The following is a 19235-nucleotide window of genomic DNA, read 5'->3' as shown; positions in this document are numbered from 1 at the left end:
TATGTGACATGGATCTCCTGAAGAGAGCATATAGTTGGGTCTTACTTCTTTATCTAATTTGCCACTCTGCACCCTTTAAGTGGAATCATTTAACTTGTTTATATTCAAAGTTAATACTGATATGTGTGGATGTGATTCTGTTATTGTGTTGTTAACTAGTTGTTATGTAGGCTTGATTGTGTAGTTCCTTTATAGTGTCAATGGGCTGTGTACTTCACTGCGTTTTTGCAGTGGCCAGTAATGGTCTTTTGATTCCATGTGTAGTGCTCCCTTAAGGACTCCTTTTAAGTCAGGTCTGGTAATAAATTCCCTTAACATTTGCTTGTCTGAAAAGCATTTTATTTCTCTTTTGCTCATGAATTTTAGTATAGCTGTATAGGAACTTCTTGATTGGAATTTCTTTTCTTCAAGAATGCTGAATATAGGCCCCCAATCTCTTCTGCCTTTTAGAGTTTCTGCTGAAAAGTTTTCTGCTGGCATGATGATGTTCCCCTTGTGGGTAGGTGACATGCCCCTTCTCTTTAGCTGCCTTTAATATTTTTTCTTTTGCATTGACCTTGGAGAATCCGATGACTATATGTCTCAAGGATGATCATCTTGTATAGTATCTTGCAGGGGTTCTGTGAATTTCCTAAATTTCTTTGTCAACCCGTTTAACTAGGTTGAGGAGATTTTGATGGACAATGTTTTGCAACTTGCTTACTCTCTTTTTTAGGGATGCCAATGAGTCATAGGTTTGGTCTCTTTATATAATCCCATATATCTCAAGGTTTTGTTCATTCTTTTTTATTTTTGTCTGACGAAGTTAAATCAAAGAACCAATCTTTGTTGTGAGACAATCAAAGACCAAAGAGATCGATAAATGTTCAGGAGAGTCCATTAAGGTGATCACCAGCCCAGACGGACATGTGTCCAGAAAGCCTGAGCCCCGAAGAAAGAGCTTCTACTACTTTTAAATATCTTAAGGCAGGAACTACGTGAAGCAGGAAGCAAGTTACAGAAGCAAGAAACAACGGCGGCATTGCAACATTTCTTACATTTTGAGAAAGACATGACTTGCAACCTAAACTTATCGGTCTTGTGACCCTGCAGTCGTGCAGGAACTCGCTGGGCCTGTAATAAACTTTGAAGAATGTGGAGTTGGGGAGCATAGATAAGGTCCACTGTCCACAGAGAGAAGACAGGCTGTTAATATTCCCTTGTAACTTGAGTGTAAGGGGAGGTCACACTTTGCAGCAACTTTAAGAGGATTTTAAAACTTCTATTACTACTACTATTAGGTTATAGTTGATTTCATTAATTCCTTCTTCATTCCCCCCTTTTGGTGCATGACACAAATGTAGATTAGTAAAGAGAACCACAGTTAGCTATTTTTTCTTGAGTGGGTACATACTCATCTTGGGATACTGGTTGGTACTTTTGCAGAGCCACTATTCATGTGGTGGTATGTCTGGCTACTATTGCTTCTATGGTGGATTGGATGCTTCTGATGAGAAGTGGCAGGAGACAAGAAAGCAGGAGGCATACACCTATTATGGCCACAAAGCCTATTATTAAAGTTTTAAAGCCTCCAAACCATGAAAACCATCCTCCAAAGGGTGAACTCGGGTTCCAACCAGACCACATCTGGGCCAGAACATGAGCTAACTTTAGCATCCTGGCAGTGATTTTCATGACAGCTTTTCCATTGTCATCAATTTGTAAAAAGCAATTCATTAAATTAAGTTTTCCACAAACTCCTCCTTCTGAAGCTAAAAGATAATCCAGGGCTAACCTGTTCTGATAAATGGCATCTCTCATCTGGGTCGCCTGTATGGCTAGCAAGTCTAAGGCTCAGGCTGTTTCAATGACTATAATTTCCAGAACTGCTTGCAACCTTGTGATGCAACTTAACATATAAATAGGAGTATGGTATCTCCATGACCCATTTTGTGCCCAGGTGGCTGGTACATAGTATTTGTTAATTCTTTCAAGGGGCCATTCATTCTCTTTCCAGCTCCCTATTTCAATGTCCTTTTAATGGTAGTATTTATTTTTTCCAAGTACTTATTTTTGTAAACACATTTCTTCAGACTCTTTTTCTGCCTTCATCATAGACCAGATACCTTAGATTTTTCCCTTGCTGCAGTGGGAGTAGGAAAAAGGATAGCCTTATTGTTCCTAATACACTCGCCCCTATCCATTTATCAGACAGCAATTGATAAGCTTTTGTTCCACAGATCCAATATAATCCTGCAGGTGTTCCTCAAATTCAGGCAAGGTAAAACTGTCCTGTGGCATCAGTTCTCTGGCTTCCAGGGCCATTGATCTTCTATATTAGTACCTCCACATACATCAGCTTGGCAGGCATCAAAATATATGGAGACAGGCCCTTTATGCAAGTAAGGGAATACTTCTGTTTTGTTTACAAGTTTATTGACCCCGGTTTCTGTGGGGTTTGTATATGATGGCATTAGGGATTTGCCAATTTGGACTTCAAATGAGAAATCACAGGGCAAGAACTCTGGGTCATAACATACTTAGGGTTGCCTGTTTCCAGGATCACAGACTGAGTAACAAGTCTGGTTATAGACACAAGTTCCTGTATGAGTCCCTGTACACTCATAGTAGGTCTGATATAACAGAGTTTTAGTCACACCTTTTCCGGACCAGGCTTCTATCATACAGTGATGACAGTCATCTTGGTCCCCATTTATAACCATAGGTGAAAGTGTCAGTGGCTTTAGTATTACTAGTATGATTAAACTTATACTATGCATGGGCACCCCTCTGGGCAACAAGCTTGGCAGCATTTGCAAAGATAACATGACAGCAAAATAGTCAGTACAAGTAAGAGTATAACTATGTTTGTAAATTCAACCCACATTTACTTATCTATCATTGACTTTCTCAGGCTTCAGCCATGCGTAGACTAGTCAGCTTCCAGTTGTGACTAGAACAGGGCTCGATGTTTCCTTAAGCTTCAGCCATGCGTGGACTGACCCAGCCTCTGGTGTGGTTGGAGCAGGGCAGTTGTTCAGTTGTTCTTGTCAGCAGTGGCTTGATTTCACTGTAGGATCAGCCGTGTTGGGTGGTCTGGGTATTGTTGACTGGTCCACTGGTCCTGGGCAGTGGCTGCTGTTGGTTTCAGCTGGCTATGAAGAACCCAAGGTATGATACCTGCAACTTTAACAGCAGCGGGGGTAGGCAAGATCACAATATGGGGACCATCCCATAAAGGCCCAAAAGTGGTTGGGTTCCATCGTTTGATCCAGACAGAGTCTCCAGGTTGGAAGGGATGGACTGCATCTGTGAGGCTAACAGGTATTCTTTCTCTAACCCACCCTTGTATTTCCTGCATGGCCTCACCTAAGGCTTGCATTTGCCTTCTTAAGGTTAATTCCCCAATTTTTTAAAATCCCCTTTTATCAGAGTTATGATTGGGGTCAGCTGAACACTATTTCATAGGGTGAATACCCAGTTAATTTAATAGGGGTGCACCTGACTCAGAGCAGGACCATAGGCAGCACCTGAACCCACTTTAGATGAGTTTCTTTGCAAAACTTCTTTAACAGCTGTTTCAGTGTCCAGTTCATTCTTTCAACTTTTCCATAACTCTGTTGGCAATAAGCTGTATGCAGTTTCCATTTGATTTTTAACATCTGCGTTAGCTGTTGTACTATTTCTGCCACAAATGCTGAGCCATTGTCTGATAAGAAAGTGCAGACAAATACTAGCATGTACCGGTAGCCTCTGGCTTGAGACAGCTTGGTAAAATCCACAAGCAGGTTTTCACAGGGTGTAGCTCCAGTTTCTTGAATCCTTGGGGGCCGTGTTGGCCCCTGCCATGGATTGTTTTGGGCACCAGCCAAGAATTGCTCAGAAACAGCTCCAGTGATGGCAGTTAGGTGTGGCACGTAGAAATGCCATCCTACAAGAGTTTCTAATGCAATTTTTCCCATATGTGTTCCTTGATAAAACTGCTTTATGAACCAGAGGGCTATTGCTTCTGGGATGGCAAGCCTCCCATCTGAGAACTTCCACCAACCTCCTTTCTGGTAACTTCCACTCTCCTCTCAAACTAAGCCTTTTCATTAGAGGAGTAGTTAGGGGGTTCTGTAAGTGGAAGCTCCAGTAAGGGCATGGTAAGTGTTTTCTCTTCCTTCTTAGTTACCTCTGCCATTGCAGTTCTTTTGGCTTCTCTATCTGCCTTTCCATTTCCTCTAGTCTCGTCACCTCCTACTGTTTTATGCATTTTGCAATGGATGACTGCTACTTCTTTTGGAGCCCATATAGCTTCTAAGAACTGCTCTATTTTCTTTTTATTTTTGATTTCCTTTCCTTCAGTAGTTAATAATGCTCTTTCCTTATATGGCTCCATGAACAGGCAAAGTGGCAAAAGCATACCTTGAGACAGTATAGATGTTTACTGACTTTCCTTTGGCCAAGAGCAGTGCTCTAGTGAGAGCTATTAGCTCAGCTCTTTGGGCCAAAGTTCTGACTGGCAGAGGGAGGCCTGCAGCTACTGAATTCAGTGTTACCACTGCATATCCAGCCCATCTGATACCTTCAGATATGAAACTGCTTTCATCAGTAAAGTATTCAACATCTGGGTCTCTTAAGGGCCGGTCCTTTAAGTCTTCTCGGCTTGAGAAAACCTCATCCACTGTTTCCACACAACAGTGATACCCTGGGCCTCACAATGGGGGCTTTCCATGCTCCACCCATTCTACTGGCAGCAGTATGGCTGGATTTAGAGTGTTCACAGTCTCCAGGGTTCTGTAGGGGTTTTCACACAATAGCCCTTGATATTTTTAAATCCTAGGGTTAGAAAACCAGCGATGCCCCCTCTGCTCCATCAGGGTGATGGCCGTGTGAGGCACCCAAATTATTAACCTTTGTCCAAATGTGAGCTTGTTAGCATCTTCTGCTAACATGTGGTAGTGGCTGCCAATGCCTTGAAACAGGTGGCCATCCCATAGCCACCAAGTCTTGTCGCTTGGACAAATATGCCACGGGCAGATACCATGATCCTAGTGTTTGTACCAAAAGTCACCTGTAGCTATTCCTTTTCTTGCATGGACGTACAGTAAAAAGGCTTTGTGTGTCTGGCAGTCCTAATGCCAGGGCCTGGATCAAAGCCTTCTTGATTTCTTTGAAGGCCATGACCTGCTCTTTTCCCCACAGGAGGGGTTCCTTTCCCCCCACTTTGTGGCTTCATATAATGGCTTAGCCATGAGCAAGAAACTTAGGGTCCAAATGTGGCAGAACCCTGCTGTCTCTAGGAACTTTCTTATCTGGTGCTGGGTGGTTGGAGTAGGAAGTGCACAAACAGCCTGCTTTCATTCTCCACCAAGCCATCTTTTCCCTTGGCTTACATAGAAGCCTAAATACTGGAAACTTTTAAAGCAGATTTGAGCCTTTTTCCTGACACTTTGTAGCTTGCCTTCCACAGCAGGTGCAGAAGGTTTTCGGTTTTTCCCAGGTGCAGTAGCCCTTGGCCAGTGGCTTTCTTATACGATGATTCTGACCATTTTCCTTAGTCTCTTGACATTCATCCTCTCAGTGTCCTTTCCTTTTGCACCATACACATTAATCTTTTTCTAGCCTCAGCCAGCTCTTAAATCCCTGTCCATACTGGCCTCTTTCACCACCCCACCCATGCCTCTTTGAAAAGTCAGCTTCCCTTCCCATTAGGGCTGCTGCTAGCAAATCTGCCTTTCCTTAAGCTTCTGATTAGCTTCCTTCTTTGTCTCCTGATCTTGGTTAATATACACCTTGGTAGCCACTTCAATAAGCTGAGTAGCACTCACACCTGCAGAGCTTCTAACTTCTGCAATTTATGTCTGATATTTCCCTGGGCCTGACCTACAAATGCCCTATTTACCAGGCACTGTTTTTCAGCAGCCTCAGGGTCAAATGGCATATAAAGCTGGTAAGCCTTGCAGAGCCTCTCACAAAATTCACTGGGACTTTCATCTGACTTCTGGCAGACCTCTTGAGACATTTCTGATATTGGTGGCCTTTTTCCCTCCAGCCTTTATTCCATGTAGGAGTACCTCTCAATACTGCTGCAAACTTTGTAGCCCTTGAGCTTGGTTAAGGTCCCAGCCTGGGTTAGCCTCTATTGGGAGTGCTTGTTGTGCATAGTGCCTGATATCTCCTGTGCCTGCAGGCTCATTGTCCTCCAGCCACTGGAGAGCAGCTTGTATAACTCTATGGTGCTCTTCTGTATTAAACAATGACAGAAGAAGTTCTTTGCAATCAGCCCAGGTAGGATTGTGAGTTAGGAAAATGGACTGCATTAGATCTATAAGAGCCTGAGGCTTCTCTGCATAGGAAGGAGTATGTTGCCTCCAATTTAAGAGATCAGTAGTAGAGAAGGGCTGATAAAAGAAGAGCCATTCTCCCCCTTCGACTTCATTCTGTGCATTCAAATAAATTTGTCCCCATGTTTCTTGGAGGGGCGTCTGCATTGCTCAGGCATGGCCTGAGCTAAGGTGGCTGACCTCATCCCCCTGGAATTCCTCCCTTGGCTTTTTGGCTCTGGGTCCTCTCTGCATGGTATTGCCTGAGGAGTGCTTTCTTCTGAGTCTGAGCCTCCGGAGGCAGCCAGAGCAGCCTCCTGTCTAAGCCTTGCCAGGGATGAATAAATTGGTGCATAAGGGGGTGGACTTTCTAACTCTTCAGGTGGGGCCACCCTACATTAAAAGATGGCCAGTCTATCTCACAAAGGGTTCTCAGTTTTTGTGGAGTTAGCTTAACCCCATAATCACCATTAAAACCTTTTTAAAAGTTTTTCAGCATGCACTCCAGTGGAGTAGGCTTTGATGCTTTTCCTCCCGTTTCCTCCCTCATGGCACGCTTTCACTCTCACTTTCACTCTTGCATCCACCAGACTGGGTCCTGTTGCGAGAGGTTCAGACACTGCTTAGCCAGGAGTGTGCCTTAATTCCTGTCACAGTTAGCTGCAGCCCTGGAGTTGGTCTTATGGGCTTTATGCAGTATCCTAGGTCTGGTTTTTCCCACAATTGCTTTGGAGCACACAGTCCGCACTAAGAGATCTGTCCCTCCCCACATCATGCCCTGCATTGGTCTCTCCCAAGACCATCTCTTTCACACACTTTCACATACCTCCCCCGTCCCAAACCAGTTTTCCTTTTTGACTGACTCACGAGCCCCACCCACATCTGGTGTCAGTTAGGGTGTGAGATTCGTCTGAGTCAACAGGCCTCTCCTGTTGTTCCCAACCCTCGTGGGTCAGACTAGTCATCACGCCCTGGGAGGTGATCAGGCTCCCCTTTCATCCTTTTGGGATAGGTCTTGCCTTAGGGCCCAAACCTTACCATGGTTCAGATGTCTGTGCACTGCTCCTGTGACTGTCCTGCAACCCTTTCCACTGGTTCCTTTGGTGCTGTCAGGGGAAGGCTCTGGAATGCGGGAGGGCCATTCTCCTTCCAGGCTGAAACTCTCCCAGCGGTGCCAAGGACCCCAGATCTCCCACATCCTGGGGCTCTAGCCCACAGGCAAAGAAGACAGAAAATCTGCCATCTCCAATCCCGGATAAGCCCCCAGAAATGTTACAGGACAATCAAAGACTGGAGAGACCAAAAAAGGTTCAGGAGAGTCTATTAAGGTCATCACTGGCCCAGCTGGACATATGTCCAGAAAGTCTGAGCCCCAAACAAAGGGCTTTTCCTACTTTTAAACATTTTAAGGCAGGAATTATGTGAGGTAAGAAGCGAGTTACAGAAGCAAGAAACAAAAGTGGCGTTGCACTGTTTCTTACATTTTGAGAAAGACATGACTTGCAACCTAAACTTATCAGTCTTGTGACCCTGCAATCATGCAGGAACTCACTGGGCCTGTAATAAACTTTGAGGAATGTGGAGTTGGGGAGCATAGATAAGGTCCACTATCCACAGAGAGAAGACAGGCTTTTAATAATCCCTTTTAACTTGAGTGTAAGGTGGGGGGTCACACTTTGCAGCAACTTTCAGAGGATTTTAAAATTTCTATTACTACTACTATTAGGTTATAATTGATTTCATTAGTTCTTTCTTCACTTTGAGCTCTGAGATTCTTTCCTCAGCTTGGTCAATTCTGCTATTAATACTTCCAATTATATTATGAAATTCTTGTAGTGTTTTTCAGCTCTATCAGATCAATTGTTTTTCTCTTAAAATGCCTATTTTATTTTTTATTTCTTGAATTCTTTTACTGGATTCCTTAGATTCCTTGGATCAGGTTTCAACTTTCTCCTGAATCTCAATGATCTTCATTGCCATGTAGATTGTAAATTCTATGTGTGTGATTTTAGCCATTTCTTTCTTTCATTTTTTTTGAGACAGAGTGTATTAGTCCATTTTCATACTGCTATAAAGAACTGCCTGAGAATTGGTAATTTATAAAAGAAAGAGGTTTAATTGACTCACAGTTCAGCATCACTTGGGAGGTGTCAGGAAACTTGCAATCATGGTGGGAGGTGAAGGGGAAGCAAGGCACCTTCTTCACAAGGTAGCAGGAAGGAAAAATGCTGAGTGAAGGGGCAGGAGTCCTTTATAAAACCATCAGAACTAATGAGAACTCACTTACTATCACGAGAACAGTGTGGGGGAAACCACCCCCATGAATCAATTACCTCCACCTTGTCCCTCCCTTGACACGTGGGGATTACTGGGATTATGGAGATTACAATTCAAGATAAGATTTGGGTGGGGACAGAAAGCCTAACCATTTCAGAGTCTTGCTCTGTCAGGTGCAATGGTGCAATCTCAACTCACTGCAACCTTTGCCTCCTGGGTTCAAGCAATTCTTGTGCCTCAGCCTCCCAAAAAGCTGGGATTACAGGCATATGACAACATACCTGGCTAATTTTTGTATTTTTTGTAGAGAGGAGTTTTGTCATATTGGCCAGGCTGGTCTTGAACTCCTAGTCTTAAGCAATCTATCCACTTCAGCCTCCCAAAATGCTGGGATTACAGTCATGAGCCACCGTGCCTGGAGTCAGCCATTTATTTTATTCTGCTTAAGAATCATTGATGGGGATCTAGTGTCATCATTTAAAAGTAAAAAGGAACTCTGGCTTTTAGAGTTGCCAGAGTTCTTGCACTGATTTTTTTCTCATTTTTGTGGGCTAAAGTTCCTTTACCTGTGGCATAATTTGAGTGTAATCAGTTGGTTTCAATTTTGAATGTTTTCAGCAGGCTAAGGCTTTGTGCAGGGTCTTATTTGAGGCTGAATTCTTGACCTTGGTTTCACAGAGGGGTATATTAGCAAAGTATATTTGGTATTCTAGTTTGGGCTGTAATCTAGCAGATGGTGCTTAAGTGTAATGGCTGGTAGATAGGCTGTTAGCCTGGTGTCTCCTCTGTACTTCCTCATGCTTGCAGCCATGCTCCCACTTAGTGCTCTGAAGGTATGGACTCCTCTTCCACTTGAATGCTGTCCGTAGATCCTGGCTTGGAACTCCTAGGCTGCACACCCTCTTTTTGTTTATTTCTGCCTGGAGTTCATTGAGTTTATTCTAAAGGTTTAGAATCCTCAATTTTTTAGTCTCTCTAAATAGATACTTAACCAATGTTTAAGAAAAGAGTTGCAGTTCTAAACATCAAATCTTAACAATAGCTGATTTTTGCTTCTGCTGCAGGTACCTATAAAAGCAGAGGGAAGAAAATTGATATTGCCTTAGAGACCCATCCACAGCCCAGCTCTTGACCTGTTGGTTTCACAGCTCAGAGTTTCTGATTAAAGTTAGGACCTTTGGAAGTAGAAAGCAGTTCAGCCTTCCGGACAAAGAGCCTCAAAACGCACCTTGCCAAGCTGTTGATGTTACAGAGCCATCTCCCAGAATGTGGGACACAGAGGGAGGTGCTTAATCTCACATTCAGCTGCCAGAAGTTTTCTGAGCTTGGTGTATGTGTTCTCTTAAAAACATGAGCTCAGTAGTCTCTGCAGAAAACAAATCAAAGCAAATACTTTAAGACCACTATACTCAGAGTGTACATTTCATCTTCTGGAATAGTCTGCTGACCCTTTTCTTTCCTTTGACCTCTGCAGAGGGTGCATGAGAAGAGAGCTTGATAGGTGAGAAAAAAGGAGACTTATTGCTCTGGGACTCCTCATCTCCTTTTGCTCTCCCACTGAAGTAGAATAAATCAAAGTACTCCTGTTGGATGTAAATAAAAATTCCTTTTAAAAAACTTTTATTTTAGGTTTGGGTGTACATGTGCAGGTTTGCTATATAGGTAAACTTGTGTCATGGGTGTTTGTTGTACAGATTATTTCATACGCAGGTAATTACCCTGGTACTCAATAACCATTTTTTTCTGTTTCTCTCCCTCTTCCCACCCTCCATCCTCAAGTAGGCCCCAGCATCTGTTGTTCCCTTCTTTGCATTCATGAATTCTCATCAGTAAATAAGAATTTATTAAAGAATTCCCGTTTAGGCTGAGAATTATACTGGGAGAAAAGGAAGCTTTTGAAAAACCTGTATCAGACACCTACTGTATACAGGGAAGTATGCTAGACCTGTGAGAAATTTTTGACTGAATACAGCCCGGTTTTGCTTTGAATTGATAAATAAATGTGAAGAGACTTGGGAGCTTGCCATTGGTAGGTGGGTGACTGCCCTTGGAAAGGAGTATACTGGTTTAGGTGACATTTGCTCAATTCAAGATGTACACATACTATGGAACTTTTACATTGTCCTCTGCTAAATTTTTAAGGTAGTTAGATTTTTCCTTGGAAAACTGATATTTAGGGAAATTAAGTATCCTGCATAAAGTCACAAAGGGAGTACACAGATTGTAGTATAGGGACTAGAATACAAAGAAAATTAATGATAAATTTAAAACCATAACAATATAATTTTAAGAATCTAATCTATATTACAGATTTTAGAATATTGTAACAGACCAGAAAATTATTTAGTATTTCCTTCTAAAGTTTTGCTTTATATATATAATATATATAAAGGGACATACAAACGACTACGTATCTAATTAAAATTTATGTCTTATCTTCTCTGACCTTTTTTATATTCATTTTAATACTCTCTCATATGTCAATATAATATCATAGTTTTCACATTAATGAGTTTAATGTAGTAAAATAATTATAGATCATTATTTAGGTAAATTATCTTTGTAGAGAGACATTGCAATTGTGTTCAATATTTACCCATAGTTAATACTGCTTTACAAAATTTTTTATAAAGCATGTTTCTTCAGCAAATTTTTTTTTTTGCATAAACTCCAAGTACTGGAATGGCTGTGTTGAAGGTTTCAAAATGCCCTCTATAAGACTTTGTCCATTGCCAGTGTTTGCAATCCCCCAAAGTGTGCCAGCTTTTTTCAACCTCCTCATTTTATAATCAACTGCATTTGTTGAACATCACATTTGTGTTTTCAGTCTGTGCGTGTACATATGCAGAAGGTTGTACCAAATGTACTTGGCAATATACTACTATTATATTCCCAGTAATTGGGCATTAAACTATTTTTTTGTTTCATTTCCTATATTTTTATTATTTTTTTTATTTCAGTAGTTTTTGGAGTACATGTGGTTTTTGGTTACATGAATGAGTTTTTTAGTAGCGAACTCTGAGATTTTCATGCACCCATCACCTGAACAGTGTACACTACACCCAGTGTGCACCACCAGTATTTCTCACTGCCTTCCCAACCTCTCCCACAAGTCCCCATAGTCCAATATATTGCTCTGTATGTTTTTGCTTCCTCATAGATTAACTACCACTTATAAGTGAGAACATACGGTATTTGGTTTTCCATTCTTAAGTTACTTCACTTAAAATAATGGCCTCCAGTTCTATCCAAGTTTCTGCAAAAGACATTATTTCATTCTTTTTTATGGCTGAGTAATATTTCATGGTGTATATATACCACATTTTCTGTGTCCACTTGTTGGTTGATGGGCAGTTAGGATGGTTCCATATCCTTTCACTTGTGAATTGTGCTGCTATAAATATGCATGTGCAATGTCCTTTTCATATAATGACTTCTTTTGCTTTGGGTAGATAACCAGTAGTAGGTTTGCTGGATTGAATGGTAGGTCTACTTTTAGTTCTTTAAGGAATCTCCATACTGTTTTCCATAGTGGTTGTACTAATTTACATTCCCACCAGCAGTGTAAACGTGTTCCCTTTTCACCACATCTATAATTAAAAAGTCAAAAAAAAAAAACAATAGATGTTGGTGTGACATTAAACTCTTACTTTTCTTATTTTCATTAATCTTCTGAGATGTGTCTAGCTGAGGTGCCAAATATGCCTTCAGAAATGTTATATATATGCTATTTTGAGGCTGAGACTTGACATGGCTGTCTATATTTTTGTCTGAGCCTTTTTTCAAAGGAACATCTGGTACAAATTTCCATGCTCAACATATAATTGGCCTTCAATAGGTACTTTGTCTTAGTCCATTTGGGCTGCTATAACAAAATACCATAAACTAGGTCTTTCTGTGTCTTCCCATGATAGAACAGGCAGCCTCACGACCTAATCCCCAAATGCTTCACCTTGTAATACCAAACCCTTGGGGGTTAAAATTTCAACATACAAATTTTGGAGGAATACAAACATTGGGACCATCACTTCCTTAATGAATGAATTAATGAATCCTTGCAATCAATAAGTGGAATGACTAAATAAATGGTTATGTTAATAAAAATACTTCATGTACTCAATTATTAAACAGATATTTATTGAGTTCTTAATGTGTATCAGACTGTGGTAAACATTAAGAATGAAAGAATAAATAGTTTAATGCTTTGTCTAGAGGAATTCACAGCCTAGAAGGCAAACTGTAATCCATTGTAACAGGTTTTGTGATTGCAATATGTACACAATTCTAGGGCAGAGCAGAAAAGAGAATGATTAATTCTGCTTGGATCGAAAAATCACAAAGGGAGTCAGTTGCAGAAATACTGACATTTGAGAAAGACTTTGGCAAAGGAGTAAAAACTGGATTTTGAAAGTAGTGTAGAAGTAGGGCATAAGTATGATGAACAAAAGCCAGAAATGCCAAGGCAAATACTGAGTTAAAGAAATGTTCTGTGATCTTGTGTGGAAGAGAGAGATGACAGATGAGGCTGATAGACCAAACGTTTATTGTTAAAAAAAAATCATTTGTAGAAACTAAGTGAATCCTACCAATCTAGGCTTCTTCCCCCCTCCAGCAACTACAATCAAAATACAACCAGTGCCTCAGTGGTTCCAGGAAAGACTCTCCTCCCCTAAAATCACAAAGATAACTCAAGGTTAAGTGAAAGGTCTGTTGTTGCCCTTAAATGACAGATAAAAAACCTGGACAAAGGGGAAGATGCATGAAAAAAATTACAGCATTCATTAATCCAAGCCTTCCCCATCATGTTAAAATAGCAGGATCAAAAACATAGTGGTATCTTTGGTATCTGGGGGCAATAGATGCAAACTAATACTAGTACTATTTCTGCAATTACAGATTCTATTTAATTATCCTGAAGGACCAGTTTTCCTAAAGGGTCAAAATATAGGAAAAAAGTCCCTGAACACAGTGACTTTGCAGTTGGGAAGCAAAAGTCAGCAGAGAAGTCAGCCAAGTTAGTTGATAAGCTAAGTCAATGGACACTTAAGATAAATGGGGCATGATTTAAACAAATGATCAGAAAAGCAGAAAGTAGCAAAGAGATAAATGAATTGGGACAACAGTGACTTTTTTTCTGATAGGCAGGATTTTGCAAATCCCAAATTTGAATTGAATCACCATCTGAATCTAACAAGAACACATCTTCCCATAGTTCCTAATACAAAGACTTAACCAGTTGTGTTACTCTATTCTAAAGACATGCACAGGACTGGGTAATTTATTTTTAAAAAGAGGTTTAGTGGACTCACAATTCCATTTGGTTGGGGAGGCCTCACAATCATGGCAGAAGGTGAAAGGCATGTCTTTTGTTTTTGTTTTTGTTTTTTGAGATGGAGTCTCACTCTGTTGCCCAGGCTGGAGTGCAGTGGCACGATCTTGGCTCACTTGCAAGCTCCGCCTCCCGGGTTCACGCCATTCTCCTGCCTCAGCTTCCTTAGTAGTTGGGACTACAGGTGCTTGCCACCACGCCCGGCTAGTTTTTTTAAATTTTTTTTTAGTAGAGACGGAGTTTCACTGTGTTAGCCAGGATGGTCTCGATCTCCTGACCTTGTGGTCCGCCCACCTCAGCCTCCCAAAGTGCTGGGATAACAGGTGTGAGCCACCACTCACAGCCAAAAGGCATGTCTTACATGGTGGCAGACAAGAGAGAATAAGAGAGCCAAGTGAAAGAGGTTTCCCTTTTAAAACCATCAGATCTTGTGAGATTTATTCACTACCAGGAGAACAATATGGAGGGAACCGCCCTCATGATTCAATTGTCTCCCTCTGGATCTCTCCCACAACACATGGTAATTATGGAAGTTACAATTCAAGATGAGATTTGGGTGGGGACACAGCCAAACCATATTGTTCCATCCCTAGCCCCTTTAAAATCTCATGTCCTCACATTTCAAAACCAATCATGCCTTCCTAACAGTCCCCCAAAGTCTTAACTCATTTCAGCCTTAATTCAAAAGTCCACAGTCCAGAGTTTTATCTGAAGCAAGGCAGGTCCCTTCTGCCTATGGGAGCTTGTAAAATCAAAAGCAAGCTAGTTACTTTGTAGATACAATGGGGGTACAGCCATTCCGAACAGGAGAAATTGGCCAAAGCACCTACCAGCCCAGTCACTGCTTGATGTCAAGAAGTGAGTTATAAAAAAAATGGCTGCTTCTTCAATTTTGCCCTCCAAATCTCCCATAAAAATCTCTCCTGTGGCCCACCCTAACTGGAAGTGTGCAGGGAAGAGAATTTCAGGAAATGTTTTTCAGTCTTGGCAAGGTGACATCTTACAAAGTCACCACAGTAAGTTCTCAGTCAAGACTTATTATATGATTGCATGAGTAAATAGATTGATACTCAGGTTTCCAGGTTTGTCACAAAGGTCAATTTAACTTATAACAAAGCTATACCAAAGTATTTTTAAATAAAAACAACTTCAGATTTAGGTAAGGAGAAATTTTATTTAAAGGAGTGTTGCAAGAGGGGAGAAAAAGACTTCTGCGATAGGAAGAGGGAGACAATTTCAATAGGGAGAACTCAGACCATAAGATCAAACATCTAAAAGGTCAGGAAGAAAAGAACTGTTCTTATATGGTGAAGAGTAAGCAAGGTCTATGGAGTGTCTTTTGTTTGGAGTAAGGAGGCTCTTTCTGCATGCTATTGTTGGCTCTGGCTCTGGCTGAGGGTGGGTCAAAGTTCAGGGTCCCATAGGGAGGACAGAAGGTTAACTAAAGTTTGGTCAAGTTGGTTAACAAGCACTTTGTTCTTATGGATCAGTGAAGATGAACAATTTAGTTAATCATTTATAAGGGAGGAATAAACAGGGCTACGGAGAACACCATGTGAGGATGTGGGATGAATATTTTATCCTGAGTTCAATCTATTCTTGGTAGGGGCTCTTAAGGAAGTGTTCTATGCTGACTTGGCCTTGGGGAAGAAGAGAAAATTGACCAAATTAAACAAAACTTAGTTAACATTTCTTAACTTCTCATTTGTCAGTGGCGATAAGCAGTTCAGCTAATCATTTATGAAGCAAAATTGGGATTTTGGAGCTTCTGTGCCTGGTCTTGTCATAAGTAAACAAGGAGGACGTCTGTGAGCCCTAAGTCAGACGGGGCTGGATGTCAGAAAAGGGGATTGATTACAAAGGGACACACAGTTTTTGGAGCGTTGGAAATGGTCTATATGATAATTTTGGTGCTAGTTACACAAATATATGCATTTATCAAATTGCATAAAATTATCCACTTAAAATTAGTGAATTTTATTGTATCTAAATTATGACTCAAAAATCTGAACAATAACACAAAAAATTGCAGAGCTTTTTTAGAATACAGATTTATAGACTGCATACCCTCTCACCAAGTCTTCTAAATAAAGAATAGTAGAAGCAGGGTTAAAATATATACATATATATATGTGTGTGTGTATATATATATATACACACATATATATATTCATGTAAACTATAAAATATATGTAAATATATACATATATGTGTGTGTGTATATATATATACACACACACACACAAATACACATATTTTAATCCTCAGATTGTTCTAACACATAATCAAATTTGAAAATTTTGCGTTACATCATTTTAATGTCTTCTATATAAGGACTCATCAGAAAAGTTTTTTTGTTTTTCTTTTTTGCAGGATGGGAGTCTAGTAGCAATAAAATATATGATTTATTTAAGGGATAATGCTAACAATAATTAAAACAGCTGACACATATTGAGTACTACTCAAGCCAGGCATTCTACTGAATACTTGAAACATTAGCTCCTTTACCACATGCCAGATTGCAAAGATTACTCTTACTTAATATTTTTCAGTTTGTTTCAAATCTACAACAAATTGTTGTGCAGAAGAAAAGTCACCCAATAGACTTTTTGGGTGTGGGTTAGCTGCTGCTTTTCCCAATGACAATAATATAAAGAGTATTAATAATCATAATCACTCATGGGATGCTTACTATGTCCCAGATGCTATTCCAAGCACCTTGTAGGTCTTGATTTATTTAATTGTCTCAACTACTCTATGCAACAGATACTAAAGTCATTGCCATTTATAGATGAGGAAACCAAGGCACTGAGGAAGTAAGTAATTGCTCAATGTCATACAGCTTCTAAGTGGCACAGTCAGACTTGTCTTGGATGGAAACCTAATTCAAAAGATGCTTGTGCATAGAGAATGTATTTGTTAATCTCAGTACACCCTTGATTATTGGAATTCTGGGCAATATAAACATTTTGTAAGTATTTTTAAAAGTTTTAAAAATGATATTAAAATAATTTATGAAAGAGGTACCTGTACTTTCCACCAGTCTTATTTTTTCTTGGAGTTTGTGAGAAGTTTAGTGAATAGGGCACCAATAAAATAGTAGGAATGGAGGCCAGGCCATTCACTAGAACTGCCTATTGTGCCTGTGTATCTTCCAGCTCTTCTCATTCCTTGATGTTTTTTGATCCTCTGTTTAGTTAAGGTACCTGCCAAGATGTTCCATTTGCAGAGTCCCCATGTACTGCAGATGCTAGAGAAATCCATGAGGAAGTGCCTCCCTGAATCCCTAAAGATGAGAGTGGAACAATTTTAGGGAACAAAGGACTAATAACTACCTATTAAAAATGTGGGAAAGAGAACAAGCATTCACTGAGCACCTATTCTGAATTCCAAACATATACTGTCAACAAATTTTTGACAAGGATACTAAGAGGACACAAAGAGAAAAAAAATAGTCTCTTCAATGAATGGCATTGAGAGAACTCTGGATTTTCACACCCCAAAGAACAAAATTGGATGCTTATCTTACACCATATACAGAAATCAACTCAAATGAATTAAATATATAAATTTAATACCTGAAACTATAAAATTATTAGAAAAGAACACAGGAGAAAACCTCCTGGACATTGGCTTTGGCAAGGATATTTTGAATATCACACCAAAAGTTTAGGCTACAAAAGCAAAATTTAACTAAATGGGACTATATTGAACTGAAAATCTGCACAGCATTTGCAACAATCATCAAAATGAGACCGCAGCCTATGAATTGGGAAAAATATTTGCAAATTATAAATCTAATATGGGGTTAATATCCAAAAGTTATGAAGTACTCATATGATCTTACAACTTAGTAGTAAAAAAAAAAGCAAACAAGAAATATAAAAAGGACCTGAACAGACATTTCTCCAAAGAAGACATAAAAATTGCCAAGAAGTATATGAAAAGGTACACAACATTATTAATCTTCAAAGCAATGAAAATTAACCCTACTATGAGATACTACTTCATAGCTATTAGGGTGGCTATTATCAAAAAGTCAAAGATACAGTTTAATGAGAGCGTGAAGAAAATGGAAGCTTTGTTGGAACAAATGTATGTGGGGCAGTCATTATGTAAGACAGTATGGAAGTTTCTAAAGAAAGTAGAAACAGAAATACCACATGACCCAACAATCCCTCTTCTGGATATATATGCAAAGAAAATGAAATCATTACTTAGAAATGATATCTGCACTCCCATATTTATTGCAGCATTATTAAAAATAGCCACGATATGGAAACAATCTGAGTATCCATCAATGGATGAATGGATAAAGAAACTGTGGTATATGTATAAAAAAATAGAATATTATTTCAGCCTTAAAAAGAGAGATGTTACCATTTGCCACAATATAAATGAAACCGGGGAACATTATGCTAAGTGAAATAAGCCAGACACAGAAAGAAAAATAGTGTGTGATATCACTTATATGTAAAATCTTTTTTTAAAAAATGTCAAATATACAGAGATAGAGAATAACACAGTGGTTACCAGGGGTAGGGGAGGGGAGAAGAAATGTGAGAAATCTGGGTCAAAGGATACATAGTATCAGATATGTAGGATAAATACGTCTAGAAGTCTAATGAAGACTATACATAATAAAATTGTGCTGTATTTGGGATTCCTGCTCAATGACTAGATTTTAGCTGCTCTTGCCGCAAAAACAAAACAGAACAAAAGTTAACTATGTGAGATGATGGATATATTAATTTACTTCACTATAATAACCATTTTACTATCCACATATGTCCCATATCATGTTATATACCTTAAATATATATAAAATTTATTTTTTAAAAAATCACCAAATAAAACAATATAAAAATGAAATATTTCAAATTAATTATTAAAATCTAGAAATGGAATAATATTAGATCTTAACAAACACAAATTGTTACTGGTATTCTTGCTGAGTCGTGAGTGCCTATCTGTGCAAAATTTTTCCACTATTCTACCCTATCTGGGTAGTTGTCCTCTGGGTCTTCTTTCATCTTCAAATCATCCTACCTTATATTTGTTAACTTTGAGAAGACCTTTTTGAACAAATTTTATGTTTTGATTTTGTTGGATATGTAATTTTTTTTAACAATAGTGCATCATAGTCTACGTTTTAAAGACATCATGTGTATTCATTTTTGTATAGCTTTATCACATATAGATGAAAATTTTGATATTGTCACATTAATAATACATTTGTTCTGAAACACTTTGAAATAGAGCAAAATTTATTCTTGCAACAGAAGCATGACTTTGACAATAATACTTTTCTTTGTCCTGAAGATTACAGAATTAGAGAACGT

General features: G+C 39.4%; 3 annotated features.

The window, feature by feature from the left end:
* Positions 7011–7305: an enhancer, noted in NCBI's record as "tiled region #12556; K562 Activating DNase matched - State 5:Enh". NCBI's record gives its function as "activates a minimal TATA promoter and a strong SV40 promoter by Sharpr-MPRA in K562 cells {active_cell/tissue: K562}" and the evidence as "EXISTENCE:reporter gene assay evidence [ECO:0000049][PMID:27701403]".
* Positions 7011–7305: a silencer, noted in NCBI's record as "tiled region #12556; HepG2 Repressive non-DNase unmatched - State 24:Quies". NCBI's record gives its function as "weakly represses a minimal TATA promoter and a strong SV40 promoter by Sharpr-MPRA in HepG2 cells {active_cell/tissue: HepG2}" and the evidence as "EXISTENCE:reporter gene assay evidence [ECO:0000049][PMID:27701403]".
* Positions 13508–13708: a silencer, noted in NCBI's record as "peak1282 fragment used in MPRA reporter construct". NCBI's record gives its function as "represses an SCP1 promoter by STARR-seq MPRAs in K562 erythroleukemia cells {active_cell/tissue: K562}" and the evidence as "EXISTENCE:reporter gene assay evidence [ECO:0000049][PMID:32103011]".

This window comes from Homo sapiens, chromosome 11, assembly GCF_000001405.40.
Source record: "Homo sapiens chromosome 11, GRCh38.p14 Primary Assembly".
NCBI classification, from domain to species: Eukaryota; Metazoa; Chordata; class Mammalia; order Primates; family Hominidae; genus Homo; species Homo sapiens.
The sequence above is the reverse complement of the archived record's forward strand: the minus strand, read 5'-3'. Positions and strand labels throughout refer to the sequence as shown.